The 18,358-nt window shown below is 45.3% G+C and overlaps 2 protein-coding genes across 15 annotated transcripts in view, besides 1 other annotated feature; one reads left to right on the top strand and one right to left on the bottom strand.

Moving 5' to 3' along the window:
* Positions 1 to 13,301, top strand: part of PIP5K1B (phosphatidylinositol-4-phosphate 5-kinase type 1 beta) — a 303,937-nt gene extending 290,636 nt beyond the window's left edge. For all 14 annotated transcript variants that reach the window (XM_017015189.2, XM_047423951.1, NM_003558.4 and 11 more), the window contains one exon: positions 12,572 to 13,301. In XM_017015189.2, coding sequence (XP_016870678.1) covers positions 12,572 to 12,574 — 3 coding nt within the window. In that variant the 3' untranslated portion in view covers positions 12,575 to 13,301. The remainder of the gene's footprint in view (positions 1 to 12,571) is intronic.
* Positions 3,189 to 3,318: an enhancer, noted in NCBI's record as "active region_28444". NCBI's record gives its function as "activates an Ori minimal core promoter by ATAC-STARR-seq in GM12878 lymphoblastoid cells {active_cell/tissue: GM12878}" and the evidence as "EXISTENCE:reporter gene assay evidence [ECO:0000049][PMID:35858748]".
* Positions 16,629 to 18,238, bottom strand: PRKACG (protein kinase cAMP-activated catalytic subunit gamma). The gene has a single exon (NM_002732.4). It carries the CDS (start codon positions 18,215 to 18,217, stop codon positions 17,162 to 17,164), a length of 1,056 nt encoding a protein of 351 aa, NP_002723.2. The 5' UTR covers positions 18,218 to 18,238; the 3' UTR covers positions 16,629 to 17,161.

An 18,358-nucleotide genomic window follows, 5' to 3' on the forward strand; every position in this document is an offset into this window, starting at 1 on the left:
TGCATTGTCTCTTTTTTCCTTTTGACATAATTTGAGTGCTCTGAATCACAGCCATCTTTATCTGAAGGGCAGTTGGAAGCTTCTCTAGTGACTTCCTGTACAGTGTTGTCACCAAACGTGGTCAGGTTTCTCTTGTAATGCTTCTTCTCCTTTAAGATAGCATTTCTCTATTAGTAGTTGTAGCCTAATCCCCTAGTGCTTTTATTTATACAGTAATGTATAATACCATTTACCTTTGTGTAAAAATACATAAGTTTAAACCCAAATGACGTATGCCCACCAGATAACATATGAAATATCCTTTTAAGGATCCATCCACACATTATGTGTGTGTGCATTAGGCTAGCTCTCCTGCTTTTTCCTGTAACTCAACATGAAATTAAAAAGGATTGGTGAGTTGAAAAGGCAGCTAATTGTTCCATCATCCTTAGTGAGACATTTAGTTCAGATTTTATGTATCTAGTTATTCTGCATGGCTTTTTAAAGGCCATTCACCTTCACACTGTAGAGTCCCAAGCTATTTGACTCATTTTCAAATATTCAAATCAAGGGAAGTGTTTTCTAAGATGATTTTTATCCAGTGACCAAAGATGTGTTTTTCATTGAATTTTGAGTTGATGACACAGATTAGGGTATTTAAAAGAATACACAGAGATGAGCAGGCTGTATTGATTTAAAATGGGCAATCACGCAGTCTTCATAATAGAGCAAGATTCTACTTTGTAAATAGTCCCAGATATTCTAAGGCACCGGATGCTGTCACAGTGGCTGTTATTTCCGTTTCTAAGGCGGCTTCTTTGCCTGATGTAGAATGCAATTTGGTTTTCGTGGAAAGAGGAACAACCAACAAAAAGCCATTTCTGCTGAAAAGTGTATTGGGAGAGAATATCCTTTTATGACTAGCTGGGAATGGCTGGGTAAGTGGGAGATAATGGGATTGCTTTTTTAATAATATAGAAGTTTGAAAGATGGCTGCCAGAAAACAGTGACTTCCTTGCTTCTACTATTCATACCCAAGGTTATGCCCTTACACTTTCCATATTAACATCCTCTCAATAATATGTACTTTCATCCAGTTTTGCTTCTCTGCAAAATGGCTGTTTGAAATACAAAAATAGCTGTGAGCAAAGGAGAAGAAACAGTTAAGCTGTTTTTTAGCCACGCCAGTATTGGAGATTAGCGCTCTGATGGGCAGCTGTTGGACGGCTTGATTATTTAATGTGTTTTCAGGGTAGTTAATAATACTCTTTGATCATGGGAAGAAGGGTGGCAGAGAAGTGAAAATGATTGAATTAACAGCTTATCATACTATTATGTATGGAAAAAGCGTGAGAAAGAGAAGAAAAACACTTTAAATTAGGTCACAGGGGTCTTAGAAAATTCAGTGGAACTTTTTTGGCAAAAGAAACTGCATTTCTGGATTTGAATCCCTCAGCGTTGAGGTTAATGACTTATATTGGGTCTCTTTAATCATTCCTTGTTGGAGCCAGTATCCGCTGCTTCAAGGGGTGTTTATTTGAAACAGTGGCATTTCTTATTCCTTCTCAGGAGAGAACTCGATCCCCTACCAACCAAAGATGCTGCTCGGGTTTTTGGTAGATTTTAGTGAGAGCAGAGTAGGAAGGAGAAAAGACAAACACTGCGTTTGGTGTAGAAGGCATTTGACCAGAAGCCCCTTTCCTTCTGCCAGGTGATCACATTGTTGAGAAGTGAAGAGATTTTGGAAAGGATAAATTAGGGCCCTTGTTTGTTTCCAGAAATGCTTGGCCCCTAAGTTATTGACAAATAATATTTCTAAGACATGTGGAAGAGCTGAGAAAATGGACCTCCCATTGCCCGAGTCTCACAGCATCTACAAGTTATTCCCATTCTTGAAATAAAAGTGACGCAAGCTTCAAATTAATGAGGCAACCTGTCAGTCTAGATTAGGAGGTCACCCATAGGATTTTTTTAAAAAACAAACAGCATTAAACTGCTGTTTAAGGATTAGCGTAGGGAATTCCAGCTGGAGTTATAAAGGCACACTGGCTTTCCAGTTCAATTAGGCTCAGAGTTAGCAATTGAATGACAGTTTGCAGGGCTGCAGTAGCTTTTTTTCTTTTTTTTTTTCTGTTAGGTCCTAGCTTTACAGTGAATCTTGGCTTGCAGGCTAGCTTGATTTCTACTTTCTTTTTTTCTTTTTTTCTTTTTTCTTTTCTTTTTTTTTTTTGTTTTTCAGACAGGATATCTCTGTTGCCCAGGCAGAAGTGCAGTGGTGCAATCTTGGCTCACTGCAACCTCCACCTTCCAGATTCTAGTGACTCTCCTGCCTCAGCCTCCCAAGTAGCTGGGACTACAGACTCACACCACCATGCCTAGCTGAATAGAGATGAGGTTTCCCCATGTTGGCCAGGCTGGCCTCGAATTCGACCTCAAGCGATCCGCCCACCTCGGCCTCCCAAATTGGGATTACAGGCATGAGCCACTGCACCCGGCTGATTTCCACTTTCTTAAAAGCTAGTTCTGCTCCAGTTTGCCTGGGTCTTTTATTATTATACATCCAGGCGCGGGTTGCCCCTCATTTTTCATTCTTTTCCTCCTAAGACTGGCCTCTCTTCCCTTCCCTTATCCCTCTAGACTCTTCCTATTGCTTCTCTTTGTGGTTTCTATTTTTGTCTTCCTTGTCAGAGAAAGCCAGTGTTTGCCATTTTCTGGAAACTTTCCAACTCTTGGGAATAGTGTTTGAGGAAGAACAGCCTGTAATGGTGTGAACTTGGGGTCTGCGAGGCCCTGAGCCTGCAGAAAACAAACAGCAGACTTAGAAAGAACCAGATTAGAACAAACAAGAACTTTTAGGAAAACAAGTTTAGATCACACCCATGGACCTAGTAAACAGGACTGTTCTCATTCGTGCCATTTCCCCTTCTGGGCTCTGAGGGGGAATGGGAAAATGCTTAAGGACTATTCGGTTTATAAAAAATAAAGCCCCCCAAGTGTGATGAATGGCACGAGTAGGAGTAGGCAGCTGAGGGCCTGGCTTCCCGTGGTCTGCTTCTGCCTCTGCTGGTTTCCAAGGCCTGCTATCACAAATGACCACAGACAGAAATGGATTGTCTCACAGTTCTAGAGGCCGGATGTCTGAAATCAAGGTGTCAGTAGTGCCACACTTCCTCTGAAGGCTCCAGGGGAGGATCCTTCCCTCCCTCTTTTAGCCTCTGGTGGCTCCACATGTCCCTTGGTCCTTTGATCTGCGTCACTGCTGCCATGTTCATATGGCCTTCTTCCCTGTGATGTTCTGTGCCTCTGTGTGGCCTCTCTTCTTATAAGGATGTCACTCATTTGATTTAGGGTTCACCCTAATCCAGTATGACCTCATCTTAACTAATTACATCTGCAAAGACCCTATTTCCAAATAAGGTTACGGTCTGAGGCTCCAAGTGGATAAGAATATTGGGGGGACACAATTCAGCCCACCCCTCTACCTTACCGAGGGACCTGTGAATTAACTGCTCCTTACCACACATAGCCTCGTTTTCTTGTTCACTTCCCTTCTCCCTGGTTGTCACTGTGACGTTAGATAGATGTTTCCAAATTAGTTTGTATTCCTCACAAAGAGGTATCAGGTAAATGACTATATGAACAGAGTCAGTCACCTGTTGGGGACATAATTTGTGTTCGAAGTAAAATCCCTGGGGGTGGACTGAGGCATTGGTATTTTTTAAACCTCTACACACACCAGAGCTGAGATCCCCTGAGCTTATTAACAGGGTCCTTCAGCTCTGAGCATCCTGGAATTCTTGTATGCTAATGTAAGGGGGAACCGTGTGACTCCCCTGGCAAGATAGCTGTCCCATTACACGTGCCTCTAATGTAGAAGCAAAGCCTAGGAAGCTCCTACACCCTCAAGTTTATGATCTGGGCTTGCCAATGAGTTCCTGCTTTCAGCAAGCCCTCTACTGCCACCTACTGATAATCAAGGCGGGGAAGGAGTGATGGAGCCCCTAGAGTTGAAACGTAATGAAGAGCAAGTGTGTGTCTCAATGGAGTTCCCACTCCATGTACTTGATTGTAGCCTTTCAGTGTTGTACGTGCAAGGTCAGCAGGCGGCGGGGGTATGTCCTTCAGAGGTCAAAGGCAGCTTACTCTGACAGGCCCAGCTCCACCACCTTTCAAGTTGGACTGGAGGCTACAATTACAATGTGGCGCAAAAATGAAGGTGTTACCTTCCCTCAGGTCCAAGTGTGCCCCCCTCATCCATCAAGGCCAGTTCTGCTTGAGCCTTTTTGAAAGGCTCCCTTGGCAGATTGGGATTCAACACAGAAAATGCTTCTTTCTACTGTTTAGGCAGCAATTTTAACAAAGTATCAACAAATCTGGGGTGGAGAAAGCCATTCTTCACCTTCGGTCTTCCACAGGTCCTCGCCTACAGCCATGGAACTCCCAGGTGATTGTGGCTTTTGAAGTAACTTTAGTAGAGAACAGAATTAAATATAATAAGATAAAAATATGTGGGGTTTTTTTAAAGACTTCCTAAATCCCAGTGGTTGCTATTTTATTAGTTTTCTAGGGCTGCTGTAACAAAGTACCCCAGATTTGGTGTCTTGAACAGAAATTTCTTTTCTTGTCATTCTGGAGGCCAGAAGTTCAAGATCAAGGTGTTGGCAGGGTGGATTCCTTCTGAGGGCTGTGAGGCAAGGATCTGTTCTAGCCTTTCGCTGGTTTGTAGGTGGCCTTCATCTCCCTATGTCTTCACATCACATCTTCCCCCTGTACGTGTCTGTATCCAAAATTCCCCTTTGCATAAGGACATCAGCCATATTGAATTAGGGCCCAACCTGTGGCCTCGTTTTAATCTGATTACCTCTATAAAGACCCTGCCTCCAAATAAGGTCACATTCTGTGGTGACAACAGTTAGGACTTTTAACATAGAAATTTTAGGGGAACACAGTTTAGCCCGTAACAGCTACTTGGGTGTTTTTGTAAAGGAAAATGCCGCCGAGGAAAGTGCTGAGATGGAAAAGGCTTGATGGGAGCACAACTTTTTTTTTTTTTTTCTTTTTTTGATGGAATCTTCCTCTGTCACCCAGGCTGGAGTGCAGTGGCGCAATCCTGGCTCACTGCAACCTCCACCTCCCAGGTTAAAGTGATTCTCGTGCCTCAGTCTGCTGAGTAGCTGGGAATTATAGGCGCACGCCACCACACCCGGCTAATTTTTATTTTTATTTTTTTTTTGTAATGACAGGGTTTCAGCATGTGGGCCAGGCTGGTCTCGAACTCCTGACCTCAGGTGATCCACCTGCCTCGGCCTCCCCAAGTGCCAGGATTACAGGTGTGAGCCACCACACCCAGCCTGGGTGTGCAGCTTCTAATTTCCACCCTCTGGGTCTTGGCAGAGGGCCTCTGGTGCATTCCTTCCTGTGGGTGAGAGAGAAGCCAGTGGCGTTGTCCTCAGGCAGTGCTCCTTTTCAAATGAAACCAGTACCATATTCCTCCCCCCACATTTTTCAAATGTGGCTGAAGCAGGGGTCAGAGTGGATTGTGTTGCAGCAACAGATCTATGTGATGTGTTAGATGATAAGGTGTATCAGTCCATTTTCACACTGCTATAAACAACTACCCAAGACTGGGTAATTAATAAAGGAAAGCGGTTTAATTAACTCATAGTTCCACATGACTGGGGAGGCCTCAGGAAACTTACAATCATGGCAGAAGGTGAAGGGGAAGCCAGGCACATCTTACTTAGTGGCAGGAGAGAGACAGAAGTGGCAATCACCAGACATTTTCAAACAACCAGATCTCATGAGAACTCTGACATGACAACAGCAAGGGGGAAGTCTGCCCCCATGAATCAATCGCCTCCCACCAGACCACTCCCCCAACACATGGGGATTACAATTTGACATGAGATTTGGGTAGGGACACAGAGCCAAACCATATCATGAGGTAACCACCCAGATTTACAATTAGCAGGAGTCACTCAAGTGCTGAAAAGTCCACTGCAGAACTGTCCACCAGTATAAATCACTGATGCTCTCAGGCTTCTCTTGGGTCCTTAGGAAACAAATTAATCAGTCAGGGAGCTGTGTTAAAATGTTACCACATTAACAGTTTTGAAATGAGAGGCCAAATCTTAAATCCATCCCAGGAGACGGCACAGACGAGTGTCAGCTGCGTCTTGGGTCTGCTCTCACCTTATGGCTCATCTACCTGCTGCTTAGTGTGGGATGCTTTAATGAGGCATCTGGAGGCCGGCAGGAGGCCTGGCACTCCATGTGCTGCCAACACCCCAGAATTCAACCAACAGTCTACCAGATCTGGAACAAAATAGCTGTCTTCATCCCAATTGTACACATCCTTCAAGGATGGCGAAAGTCCTGCCTTCTGCCTCAAGGCTTCTCGGTTGAAGCCTTGTAGTCCCTGGTCCTTGGAAGAGAGTAACGTCACCTCTAATGCTGCGTCCAAATATATTTTTTAAGTACAAAGGTAGGAAATTTGGATCTGAGCGTGCCTAAGTTTCCTTTCGGCAATGCAGTTCCATAGCACTGTGATTTTCTTCTGTTCACACTGCTATGTCCTGATTCTGCAGCACTAGCACGTGTATTTGTTTCCATGCCTAACAAAATGGTGAGCTTTTGGGTCCCTGCTACTACTGGAATCCAATACAACGAGAAATCCCCCACTGCACTACATCCCCAAATGATTGTGCCTTGTGAAGTAATTCCCAATAGAGGATAGATATGAATATAATAAAATATAGAGCTTTATTTAAAAAAAAGAGAGAGAGAGAGACTCTGGACTTCCCAGAACCCAAAGGTGATACCTTGTGTTTAAAACTTAGGGATCTCAACCAGGCATGGTGGCTCATGCCTGTAATCCCAGCACTTTAGGAGGCCGAGAGGGGCCCATCACTTAAGTCCAGGAGTTCAAGACCAGCCTGGGCAACATGGTGAAACCCCATCTCTACTAAAAATGCAAAAATTAGCTGGGCATGGAGGCGCATACCTGTAATCCCAGCTACTTAGGAGGCTAAGGCACGAGAATCACTTGAACGCAGGAGGCGGAGGTTGCAGTGAGCCAAGATCATGCTGTTGCTCTCCAGCCTGGGTGACAAAGGGAAGCTCTGTCTCAAAAAATAATAATAAAATAAAATTCAGGGATCTCTGGGAAAGAAATCGGGTGAACCCAGAGATGAAGGGGACCCCGGAGCCAAGGAGATGATGTTGGGGTGAGATATCCTGAGCCTTAATATGGATTTGTGGTGATGTGTGAGTTTTGACTAACGTGGGCAGAGGGAGGCGGGATGAGTTGATGTGATCTCATGGCAACGAGAGGAACATCAGACAAAAGAATCAGGACAATAGAAATAGAAAGGAAACAGAGCAGACCTGGAAAAAAAGAGAATTCAGAATTGATGACAGAAACAGGAGCTGTGTGTAGGAAAATGAAACACGGGACTAAGCCTACGATGGCCGAGAGAAAAGCTGATGCTTTCGTCAAAGATATTTGGGACAAAGAATTTCAACTTGAAACCAAAGTGAGGATTTCCTGGACACCAGAGAAAGCTCTTGCTTTAATAAGGCCTCAGGACTGAAACCTGAGGTAATTATAGTTAAAAAAAAAAAAGGGGGGGGGATATCACCCCAAGGGTTGACTGCTCAGGGATCATGGAGACCTCACAGGACTTGTCAGTGCTGTTCATCTTGGCCAACCTAACTGTGGTGAAGTTCCGCCTCTCTCAGCACTGCCCTAAAACTCCCTCACACCACATCCCAGATGTTCAGAAATTCTCGATATGTTTGTAAGCCAGTCGGTTGATGGGGGCAAGGGTGTCAAGGGAAGGCTTGAGAAAGGCAAGCAGGAGTGGAAGGAATGAGTCTAGGAAAAAAGTTTCTTGGAAAAGAAACTCCTCACCTTCTCATGCCCTTCCTGTGGCTCTGAAAAGTAAACCGAGGCCATCTGAGTTGGGAAGCCCTCCTGGGAGTGTTTCCTGCCTGGGCTCCCCTCCAGGGGATCCGACTTCACAGTACAGTCAGCCCCCTAGAAAGGGCTTCTGGGTTAATTAGTGGACAGATTGCTTTTGATTTGCTGTTTTCCCTTATTGCTCTGTATTAGTGTTTAATTATTTAATTTTAAATAACTTTTTAAAATAAATGTTGAAAATTATTTAATTGTAATATTGAAAAGCTTTGTAATCTCTGACCCCTTGTGTACATACTATTGTGTAGTTTCAATCATAGAATCAAGCATTTTATTTTAGGTAGAAATAAAAATACACCTTTCTCTTTCTTATACCCCAACATATGTGTGGGATGAATAACACTGGGATTTAGGCTGAAATACTCTACTTTTACTTTTTATGGCAACTATTAACGACACTTTTTACTGTCAGGTATCAGAATTTTAAATAGTTCATGAATTCTCAGAGTATCTCAGTGCATAGGCAAAAATGCTGCACCTTTGTGGGCGTGTGTGTGTGTGTTTTTGTGTGTGTGTGTGTGTGTGTGTGTGTGTGTGTACAGAGGTTCACCTGGGGACAGAGCTGAAATGTCACTCCAGGGTCTGTAGTCTCTGAGCTCCTCTGCCAAAGCACCAGCACTGAGAGGGAGGAACTTCACCACAGTTAGGTTGGCCAAGATGAACAACACTGACAAGTCCCGTGAGGTCTCTGATCCCTGAGCGGTCAAACCTTATTTCAGTCTCTACACCCATTCGGTCAGGATGGGTCTGAATCTTGGTTGACCTTGAGGAGAAGCTGCTAATCTTTTGGGCAATAATGCCCTGAAGAGTCCATCTGCGTGCTGGGGAGCAGAAGGGACTTCTGCGTGTACCACACTTTGAAGAATGAGCTCAAGCTATGAGTTAGTTTCCTTCCAGGGTAGAGAACTGATGTTTGTGTCTCTGCAGTGATGGCTAATATAGGACTCCTGAGTTATGAATTTGAAGGAAGGAAAATTATGGCACCTTTTATGCTAAGGAAGGAATAATAAAATGGTTTCTGCATACTTCTCACTGTGGCCATGTTTACAAGCAAGAAGACGCTGTGCTTTCAGATCCCACAGATACCTCTCCATCTCATTTTAACAGGGTTATAAATTAATGCAAAACAGACACGTTCATGTATCCAGATCATGTCATCCAAGAATTACATTACAACATGGGTGGAGAGTTGGCAGTGCTCACCCAATTTTGACATTCTTGAGCCCTGAGGGTGAGAGTGAGTGTTTATAGGAGCTTATAGAAACTTCTATGACATCCTTAGTTTAAAAAAAAAAAACTAAACTAAACTTCCTGTGTGCATGCAAAGGACATTTTATGACCAAAGCTGGAAATCATTCTTTATTTTTAATACTGAGGAGAGTATCTTTTATTATTATAAGACCCTGTGTGTTTTTTTATTAAACTATAAATTTAACCAATTTTATGAGAGACATCAAGGTATTAAATTCTTTTCAGATCGTTCCCGTTGCATAAGTCACCAACTGTTTACAGTATTCTGAGTTATTCAGTGGTATAAATTTACAGCAATTTATTTTATTTTATTTTATTTTTGATATGGAGTTTTGCTCTTGTTGCCCAGGCTGGAGTTCAATGGTGCGATCTCAGCTCACCACAACCTCCGCCTCCCAGGTTCAAGCAATACTCCTCCAAGTAGCTGGGATTACAGGCATGCGCCACCACACGCGGCTAATTTTGTATTTTTAGTAGAGACGGGGTTTCTCCATGTTGGTCAGGCTGGTCTCGAACTCCTCCCGACCTCAGGTGATCCGCCTGCCTCGGCCTCCCAAAGTGCTGGGATTACAGGCATGAGCCACCACACCCGGACTTTACAGACAATTTTTAATGGGATCTTGTGGTTGAAACAGAACTTCATAGTCATCTGGCCCAAGCTACCCACAAGTGCCCAAGTCCTCTCTACTGTGCCTTCTGGGTGCTGGGTCAGGATAAACAGTTTCTGCCTCAGCTCTCCTGGGGCTGATCCCTAAGTGACAGCAACTGCTCCTTCTTTAGTGACCACTCATTTCTTTCTTTTTTTTTTTCTTTAGAGACAGGGTCTCTCTCCGTCACCCAGGCTGGAATGCAGCAGTGTGATCATAGCTCACTATAGCCTCAAACTCCTGGGCTTAAGCAATCCTCCCACCTTAGCCTCCTGAGTAGCTGGGACCACAGGCACATGCCACCACACCCAGCTAATTATTTTATTTTATTTTTTATTTTTGTAGAGACAGGGTCTCACTATGTGGCCAAGGCTGTTCTTGAACTCCTGGGCTCAGCCCCACAAAGTGCTGGGATTATAGACGTGACCCATCATACCCAGCCCACTCATTTTTTTTACTCCGGTTAAAAAGCACTTCTAGCTTGAGAAAAAACTGGCTTCCATGCAGTTGTCCTGGGTTCTGGCTTCTGGGATCATTCTCAACCACTGAGTCTCAGCAGATGGCATGCTGGGCCCTTGTATCTAGGGAGGGCTTGCGTCATGTACACATGACATGTGCTGGGGGAGGACATAAATTTCAGGATCCTTAATGAAGAAAGAGTGGAGGGGGTGCAGCTTTACAACTCTACGCCCTTCACACATTCTGAGATTCCACTCACCTCCCGACCCCAGGATCACAGCATCTGTGCCACTATTGCTGGTGACAGTGTCACATCTTTCAGCAATACCGGGACTAAACTAATACCTAAGCCTTTCTTCCCTGAGGCTAGTCTTCAGAGACTCAAAGACAACTATTATGCCCTGTCTCTACCTCTCCTATTTTCTAGACCAAAAAGCCCAGGCCTTTAGCCATTCCCCTGGGGTCCTGGCTCCAGGGCCCTTCACTGGTGGATCTCCTCAGGCATCACTCAGGTTACTCACTGTCCCTCTCAGAGTCTGGCACTGGAAATGAGACACAGAACTCCAGTGTGATCTATAGAACGAGGAAAGCAAAACTATCACCTCTTTTTGTTTTTATTCTGCTTTGTTTTTTAAGAACGCAGGACTTCTAAATCTAATCAGTAGGACCTCATCATTTTATGTGGGTTGTTTTGTATGTCACTGGTTTTGTGAGAGACCTGCACCATACATCAAAGTTATCAGACTGAGGCTGAATGAAATCCACCAGTCCACCTTAAAGACAGCTATCCTGGGAATGTGGGCAACGTCCCACTTGCCCACTGCTATAGCTTATAGCACCTTACACTCACCTCTTCCTACAGATTATTTTTGAGTAACAGCGTGACCATGTTGTGCATTTAGCCAAGCAAACCTTTCTAGCTTAGGTGAATGAGAGGGAGCGGCCAACGTATAAAACAAAATAGTAAGTTCATAAAAATTACAGTGCACAATAGTCTCAGATAAAATATTAATTGTTAAACAGAATTCCCTGTATGTGACATGTTCTCTTTCCTAATAATTTTCAGTTATTTCAAACTTTTTACTCAAGTTTTTTCAAGCCTCCAATTAAAGGTGCTGAGCTGCACCAGTCTCTGTGACCCCCAGCTCCAACCTTCTTCACTACAATTTTGGGGGTACTAGCACATGCCAGGTACAGTACTCAATTATAAATATATGATTTGTGTATATCGTGTGTGTGTAAAACACTTCATTTTCCCCATGGAAAAATTTATCCCTCACCACCACCCTATAAAGTAGAGTTTGTTACCTCCACTTTATAGATGAAACAACAAGGTTCCAAGAAGATGTTGCATAATATTCTACAGATGAAATAATTAGGAAATCAGGCCGGGTGAGGTGGCTCACGCCTGTAATCCCAGCACTTTGGGAGGCCAAGGTGGGCGGATCACTAGGTCAGGAGTTCAAGACCATCCTGGCTAACACAGTGAAACCCCATCTCTACTAAAAATACAAAAAATTAGCCAGGCGTGATGGCAGGCAGCTGTAGTCCCAGCTACTCGGGAGGCTGAGGCAGGAGAATCTCATGTACGTGGGAGGCAGAGGTTGCGGTGAGCTGAGATCTTGCCACTGCACTCCAGCCTGGGCAACAGAGTGAGACTCCATCTAAAAAAAAAAAAAATAGGAAATCAGATGATTTGACCCAATGTGTCTGTCTCTAAAGGCTGAATATAATATTGCTTTCCCCACATATATCATAGTGCTGCTGTCACAGGTTGAGTTAGCTGGCTCTGATTTTAAATAGCTACCATTTAAATAGCTACCATTTGCTGAACATATTGTTACCACCCAGCCACAGTGATATTGTTTGGAAAAAAACATTTACAAGTTCAAGGCCATGTTCAAGTTGTTCTTTTTGGCTTCAGATCTAATATACCACAGCACATCCCCTCATCCCTGTGCACTTGGAGGGCAGGAGGGTGTCTTAGTCAGTGTTGCTTCCTTCCAAGTCCCGAGCACAGTGCTGTGATGTAGTCAGGACTCAATCTTGATAAACATTGGTGTAATTAACAGGTTTCAGGTCCACCAAAGAAGTATATGCTATGCTGATCATTGCAGAAGAATCCCAAACATAATGCACCCCATTTTCCAGACACAAGTGATTGGGAGAAATAACGAACTTATGTTGCGACTCATGGGGAGAGGTTACAAATTGATGCCAAAATCTAGTCTCACACCTGCTTTTTTGCTCCCCCCAGTAAGTGAAAATGGTGATCACCTAAGCACATGGATGAGACGTGAGCACAGTTATGGCAGAGAAGTTTCTCCGCACCAGAATTATCCACAGCAACTTGGCTGAGCCCCACTACACACAGAGAAATCATCAACCTGACTTAAGAGTTTTCAAGATGTCAACTTCAGGCTGATCAGCAGATGGGATGTGAAAAATACTACCCTATTCTATCATTTGCTGTTGCTTGCTGAACTGTGAAGAACTGCATGAACTATATTTAAGCTGCTTTCTGTACCATTGCCAATCACCTTTTTGGAGTTGGAAGTGCTATTTTCCTATGGACTTTTGCATTATTTCATTGTGCATGCATCCAGTGATTATACATAAGCAACATATGTAATCTGCTTATATATTTTTAAAAATCCATCCACACACATGGTAAATTAAGTATAAATTCTTTTGCAAAATTATAGTTCATGTCATTGAAAGTTTAAATTGGTTTCATTTAAAGATCAATATACTAGGTCTGCCTTCACTTTATAGAAAACTAGCTTCTATAAAGATTTTTTCACTGTTTACTAGTGAAATGAGAAAAGCAAAGCTATTTATAAAAGGCCTTATGTCGTGTACATACATTGTCTTTGAAATATTTGTGATCTAGTTTATTGCTTGTAAAAGAGAAATTATATAATTTATTTAGTAAATACTACTGTAAACTATAGTTTTGTGAGAGAAATAAAATATTTTGTTCTCAATTGTGGTGGTACATCGATTCCAGTGATTTATGGTCTTTCCATTTCTTCTTTTATTAAAAATAACCCAAATACTCCTCATTTGAGATATTCAGAAATCCTAAATAAACTGAATTTCATGATGGATAAAAATGGGAAAAACTTCAATAGCAGCTTCTGCTGAACTCATCCAAAGACTTTCCCAAATGTCCTGGTATATTAGTCAGCTTTCACTATGTTATGCTATGGTAACAAACAATCCCAACATCATAGGAGCTTTCACCAACATAGTTTTACGTCTCCCTCACATGTGGGGACCAGCTGCAGCTCTGCTCCAAGAGTCTTCTTCATTCTGGGGTCCAGAGCAGCCCCTATGTGGGACAGGCAACTTTCATGGCAGAGAAAAAGAGCAATGGTGGAACCAATGAGAGCTCACAAAGCTTCTGTCTCAGTGCAGCTGACAGCATTTCTACTTGCATTCCATCCACCAACATGAGTGACATTGACAGGTCTGGAGTCAAAGGTGTGGGATGTACACTTCTCACATGGGAATGGACTCAGCAATGAATATTTTAATTAATTAATACAGTTTACACCACCTGGTAAGTGTCCCTAGCAACAGAGACATAAGAGGTTGAGAGAAAAATCATTAGAAAGCAAAATGATCAAGGCTGCAGAAAGATATTCCTGATGAGTAAGATGCTCAGTGTTAAATACTTCGAGTTAAAACAAGCTGATTCTTGTAAGCAAGCATGCTGTAAACTTTTGTAAATGTAGCCCAGAGCCATAGTTACTCAGCATAAGTAGCAGTTTCACCTGCAGAGTCAGTGCTGGAAAGCTAGGATGTCTTACATCCTAGGTTAGGATGTCAACAGGGAATTCTGCAGAAGTGGATGATTGAGGATCCTCTGCCTCTCTCTAGTATTCATATGTGCTACCACTCTCCCTTACTACATGGGTTTTCATAGGTGAATCCCACTCTTCCCCCCTCCCATTTGTAAATCTACCCATTTAAGCAGGGTTCTTAGCCTAGGACCCACTGATTTCTAGAAGAGTCATAGATAAATGTTAATAGGGCCATGAAATCATATACACAAGTTGGGTATGCTTTTGTGTATATGGGGTGTTTTTTTTTTCATGAAGAGAAAGACTATACTTTTTATCAAATTCACAGTGACCTGGACCCAAGAAATGTTAAGAACCTTTATTTTAAGACCTAACTCAAAAGCCGTTTCAATACCATGAGGCTGTGATCCTCAAAACTCTATCCCCACTTGAATCACCCGTGGCCTGCCTGTGTTGTCTCACCTGTCTCAAAAAACCTCAACATTTTCAACCGTTTTTTAATGACTGAGGTATAACTTACATATGCTAGAGTGCACAGCTATGAATTGTATAGTCCAGTGAATTTTTACATATGTGTAGACCCATGTGCCCAGCACCTAAAGCGCATAGAAAACATTTGCAGCTAACCTACTGGCTTTTTTTTTTTTTTTTTTTTTGAGACAGAGTCTCGCTCTGTCGCCCAGGCTGGAGTGCGGTGGTGCAGTCTCAGCTCACTGCAACCTCTGCATCCCGGGTTTAAGCAATTCCCCTGCCTCAGCCTCCCGAGTAGCTGGGATTACAGGCAGCTGCCACCATGCCTGGCTAATTTTTTGTGTTTTTAATAGAGACAGGGTTTCACCATGTTGGCCAGGCTGGTCTTGAACTCCTGACCTCGTAATCCGCCCGCCTTGGCCTCCCAAAGTGCTGGGATTACAGGCGTGAGCCACCGTGCCTGGCCACCTGCTGGCTCTTTCATGTCCCCTCTCCACCAATGCCATCCTCAAAGGTCACTATTATGACTTCCAGCATCATAGATTAGTTTTGCCAGTTCTTTTTTAACAAAACTTTATTGGTAATAGTTGGTTTTTTGTTTTGTTGTATTGAGACAGAGTCTCACTCTGTCACCCAGGCTGGAGTGCAGTGATGCGATCTCGGCTCACTGCAACCTCTGCCTCCCAGGTTCAAGCGATTCTCCTGCCTCAGTCTCCCAAGTAGCTGGGATTACAGGTGCATGCCACTACGCCCAGCTATTTTTGTATTTTTTAGTAGAGACGAGGTTTTGCAATGTTAGCCAGGCTGTTCTCAAACTCCTGACATCAAGTGATCCACTTGCCTTGGCCTCCCAAAGTGCTGGGATTACAGCACCCGGCCTTATTGGTAATAGTTTTGACATATGTTTACAACAGCACACTGTTCAAGAGGAAATCTCATCTTTTCACAGCAAGCAGGTTGAATCACCCTGAGCCCACCTGGGGACCCACCCCAGGCCTGAGAGCTCCTCCTGGGATGGGGAGAAGTGATGAGAGGGGGAAATATGAAGATGAATGAGGTGGCTTGCCAGCAGCTCCTCACTTTTCTATTAAGAAAGAAAACAGACCAGGGACGGTGGCTCACTCCTATAATCCCAGCACTTTGGGAGGCCAAGGCAGCTGGATCACCTGAGGTCAGGAGTTCAAGGCCAGCCTGGCCAATGTGGCAAAACCTCGTCTCTACTAAAAATACAATAATTAGCCGGGGATGGTAGTGGGCCCCTGTAATCCCAGCTACTCGGGAGGCTGAGGCAGGAGAGTCGCTTGAACCCGGGAGGCGGAGGTTGCAGTGAGCTGAGATTGTACCACTGCACTCCAGCCTGGGTGACAGAGTGAGACTTCATGTCAAAAAAAAAAAAAAATTGAAAACAGCACGGGGTGGCAGGGGAGAAGAGGTGAAGGATGGCTGACAGCTAAGCTGGAGAGGGGCACCCAGGATGGGAGAAGGCAGAAGCTGCTGGGTGAATAAAACAGGCAGCCCCTCCCCAGCAACCCTAGCCTTGAACCCTGGGCGATGAGGTGGGGGTGGAGGGGCTGGGCCTCTTCCATGTCCTTTTGCAGGACTGCCTTCCCATAAGGAGAGGCTGGGCATCACAATCTGGCTGAGAATAAAATTAAGGAGTTTCGGGGAAATGCTGCTGTGAAGAAAGACTTGGGCTTGGAACTCCCACTCTGTCTTTTTGGGGGACAACTCCTCTTTGGCAGGGAGTAGGGCAGCTGCTTTTCTGGCTCCCAAAGCCCAAGGGTGAAGAAAAGTCTGCTGGGGAAGAAGAGAGTGGAGCTTCCTAAAAGAACTGAGACCTTTGCAAGAGTGATAGAGGATGCCCCTGGGGAGGGGGGAGGGGGAAATCAGCAGTTCATGGGGGAAGTTCAAACCCCAGAGCCTCCTTCCAAAGTCAGTCGGCTTCCTGGATTTGTTAAAATGGAATGGGGAGACACGGTAAGGTGGGAAGGGTGGGAGGGGTGGAAGTAGAGGAAGGAGGAAAGGGGACACTGGTGGAACTTAAATAAGATTTTAATTGTTTTTTGTTTTAATTTTTTATTCTAGCAAACAGCCCACTGAACATGGCACTAAACCTCTCTCCTTCCCAGGCAGGATTACGCCAAAGGGTAGGTGTGCTTTTCATTCATCCTCTCTTAGTAAGTGGTGCCTGTTCAGGGCTGGAGTTAAGTTTGAGCCCCTCTTTCCACACCGTGTCCCTTGATACAACAGCAAGACCTGGCCTGAATAGAGCTGAGAAACTCGTTTAAAACAGGCAGAAGGGGGCTGGGGCAAGGGGGACCCTGTGGGAGGAGAAAGAGAGAAGCACAGAGGGACCAGGAAGGCATGGGGGGGGGTGAGGGAGCAGCTGGTGTTTCTGTTCCTCCAAATATCTGGGCTTCCTGCTCCCCCAACCCTGGAGGGTGGGGTGAGGATGAAATTAGATACAAGGAACTCTGGGGCCCTCTGGCTGTTCAATCCAACCCTCCCATCCCCCAAACCACCAAAAACAAAAAGGAAAGAAAACCCACAGGGGCACAAGCACACCCCTAAAACTCAGAAAACTCCTTGGCACACTTCTCATTGATGGAGATCCGGAGCTCTTCCTCCTCGTAGTCGTCAAAGTTACTGGCATCCCCAGGGCCTGTGTACTTCGGGATGAAGGGAGCTTCCACCTTCTTCTCATAGATGGCGATCCAGCTGGTTGTGGCGAACCACTTGTGGTTCTTGATGTCGCCAACCCCGTTCCTGAGGTTTCCGAAGCGCTTGGTGAGGTCCACCTGCAGCAGGCTCCGCAGCAGATGCTTGAGGTCAGAGCTGAGTTTGGAGGGAAACCGCACCCTCCCAGAGACGATCTTCTCGTAGATCTGGATGGGCTGGTCGGCGTAGAAGGGTGGGAAGCCCACGGCCATCTCATAGATGAGCACCCCTAGGGCCCACCAGTCCACGGCCTTGTTGTAGCCTTTGCTCAGGATGATCTCGGGGGCCAGGTACTCTGGGGTCCCGCACAAGGTCCAAGTGCGGCCCTTCACGCGCTTGGCGAAACCGAAGTCCGTCACCTGCAGGTAGCCCTGCTGGTCGATGAGGAGATTCTCGGGCTTCAGGTCGCGGTGGATGAGGTCGAGCGAGTGTAGGTACTGGACGGCCAGGACGACCTGGGCGGCATAGAAACAGGCATGGGGCTCGCTAAACCTTCCGACGCGCTGTAGGCGGGAGAACATCTCCCCACCCGGCACGTACTCCATCACCAGGTACAGGTAGGAGTTGTCCTTAAAGGAGAACTGGAGCTTGACGAGGAACGGAAAGTCGATCGCCTGCAGGATGCGCTTCTCGTTCAGTATGTGCTCGACCTGCTTCATCTTCACCACCTTCTGCTTGTTGAGGATCTTCATGGCGTAGTGGCCGCCGGTCTCCTGGTGCCTCACCAGCATCACCCGCCCGAAGGAGCCCATGCCCAGCGTCCTGAGCCGTTCGAACTGATCCGAGCTGGCGGTGTTTTGAGCGGGGTTTCCCCATCTGTAGAGGAAATCTCCTCTGGCTTTGGCTAGGAACTCGTTCACGCTCTCCTCCTGCTCGGTGTCCTTCTTGGCGGGGGCGTTGCCCATGGCGGTGGCGGCGGCAGGGGCGGGGGTCTCGCGGCGGCGGCGGCGGCGGCGGCAGCGGCGGAGATGGCGCCCCCTGGGGCTGGCTGCGCTGGCTGCGGCGCTGCGACCCCCGCCCGGCCTCCGCTTATATTCCCAGCTACA

This window comes from Homo sapiens, chromosome 9, assembly GCF_000001405.40.
Source record: "Homo sapiens chromosome 9, GRCh38.p14 Primary Assembly".
In the NCBI taxonomy this organism is placed as follows: Eukaryota; Metazoa; Chordata; class Mammalia; order Primates; family Hominidae; genus Homo; species Homo sapiens.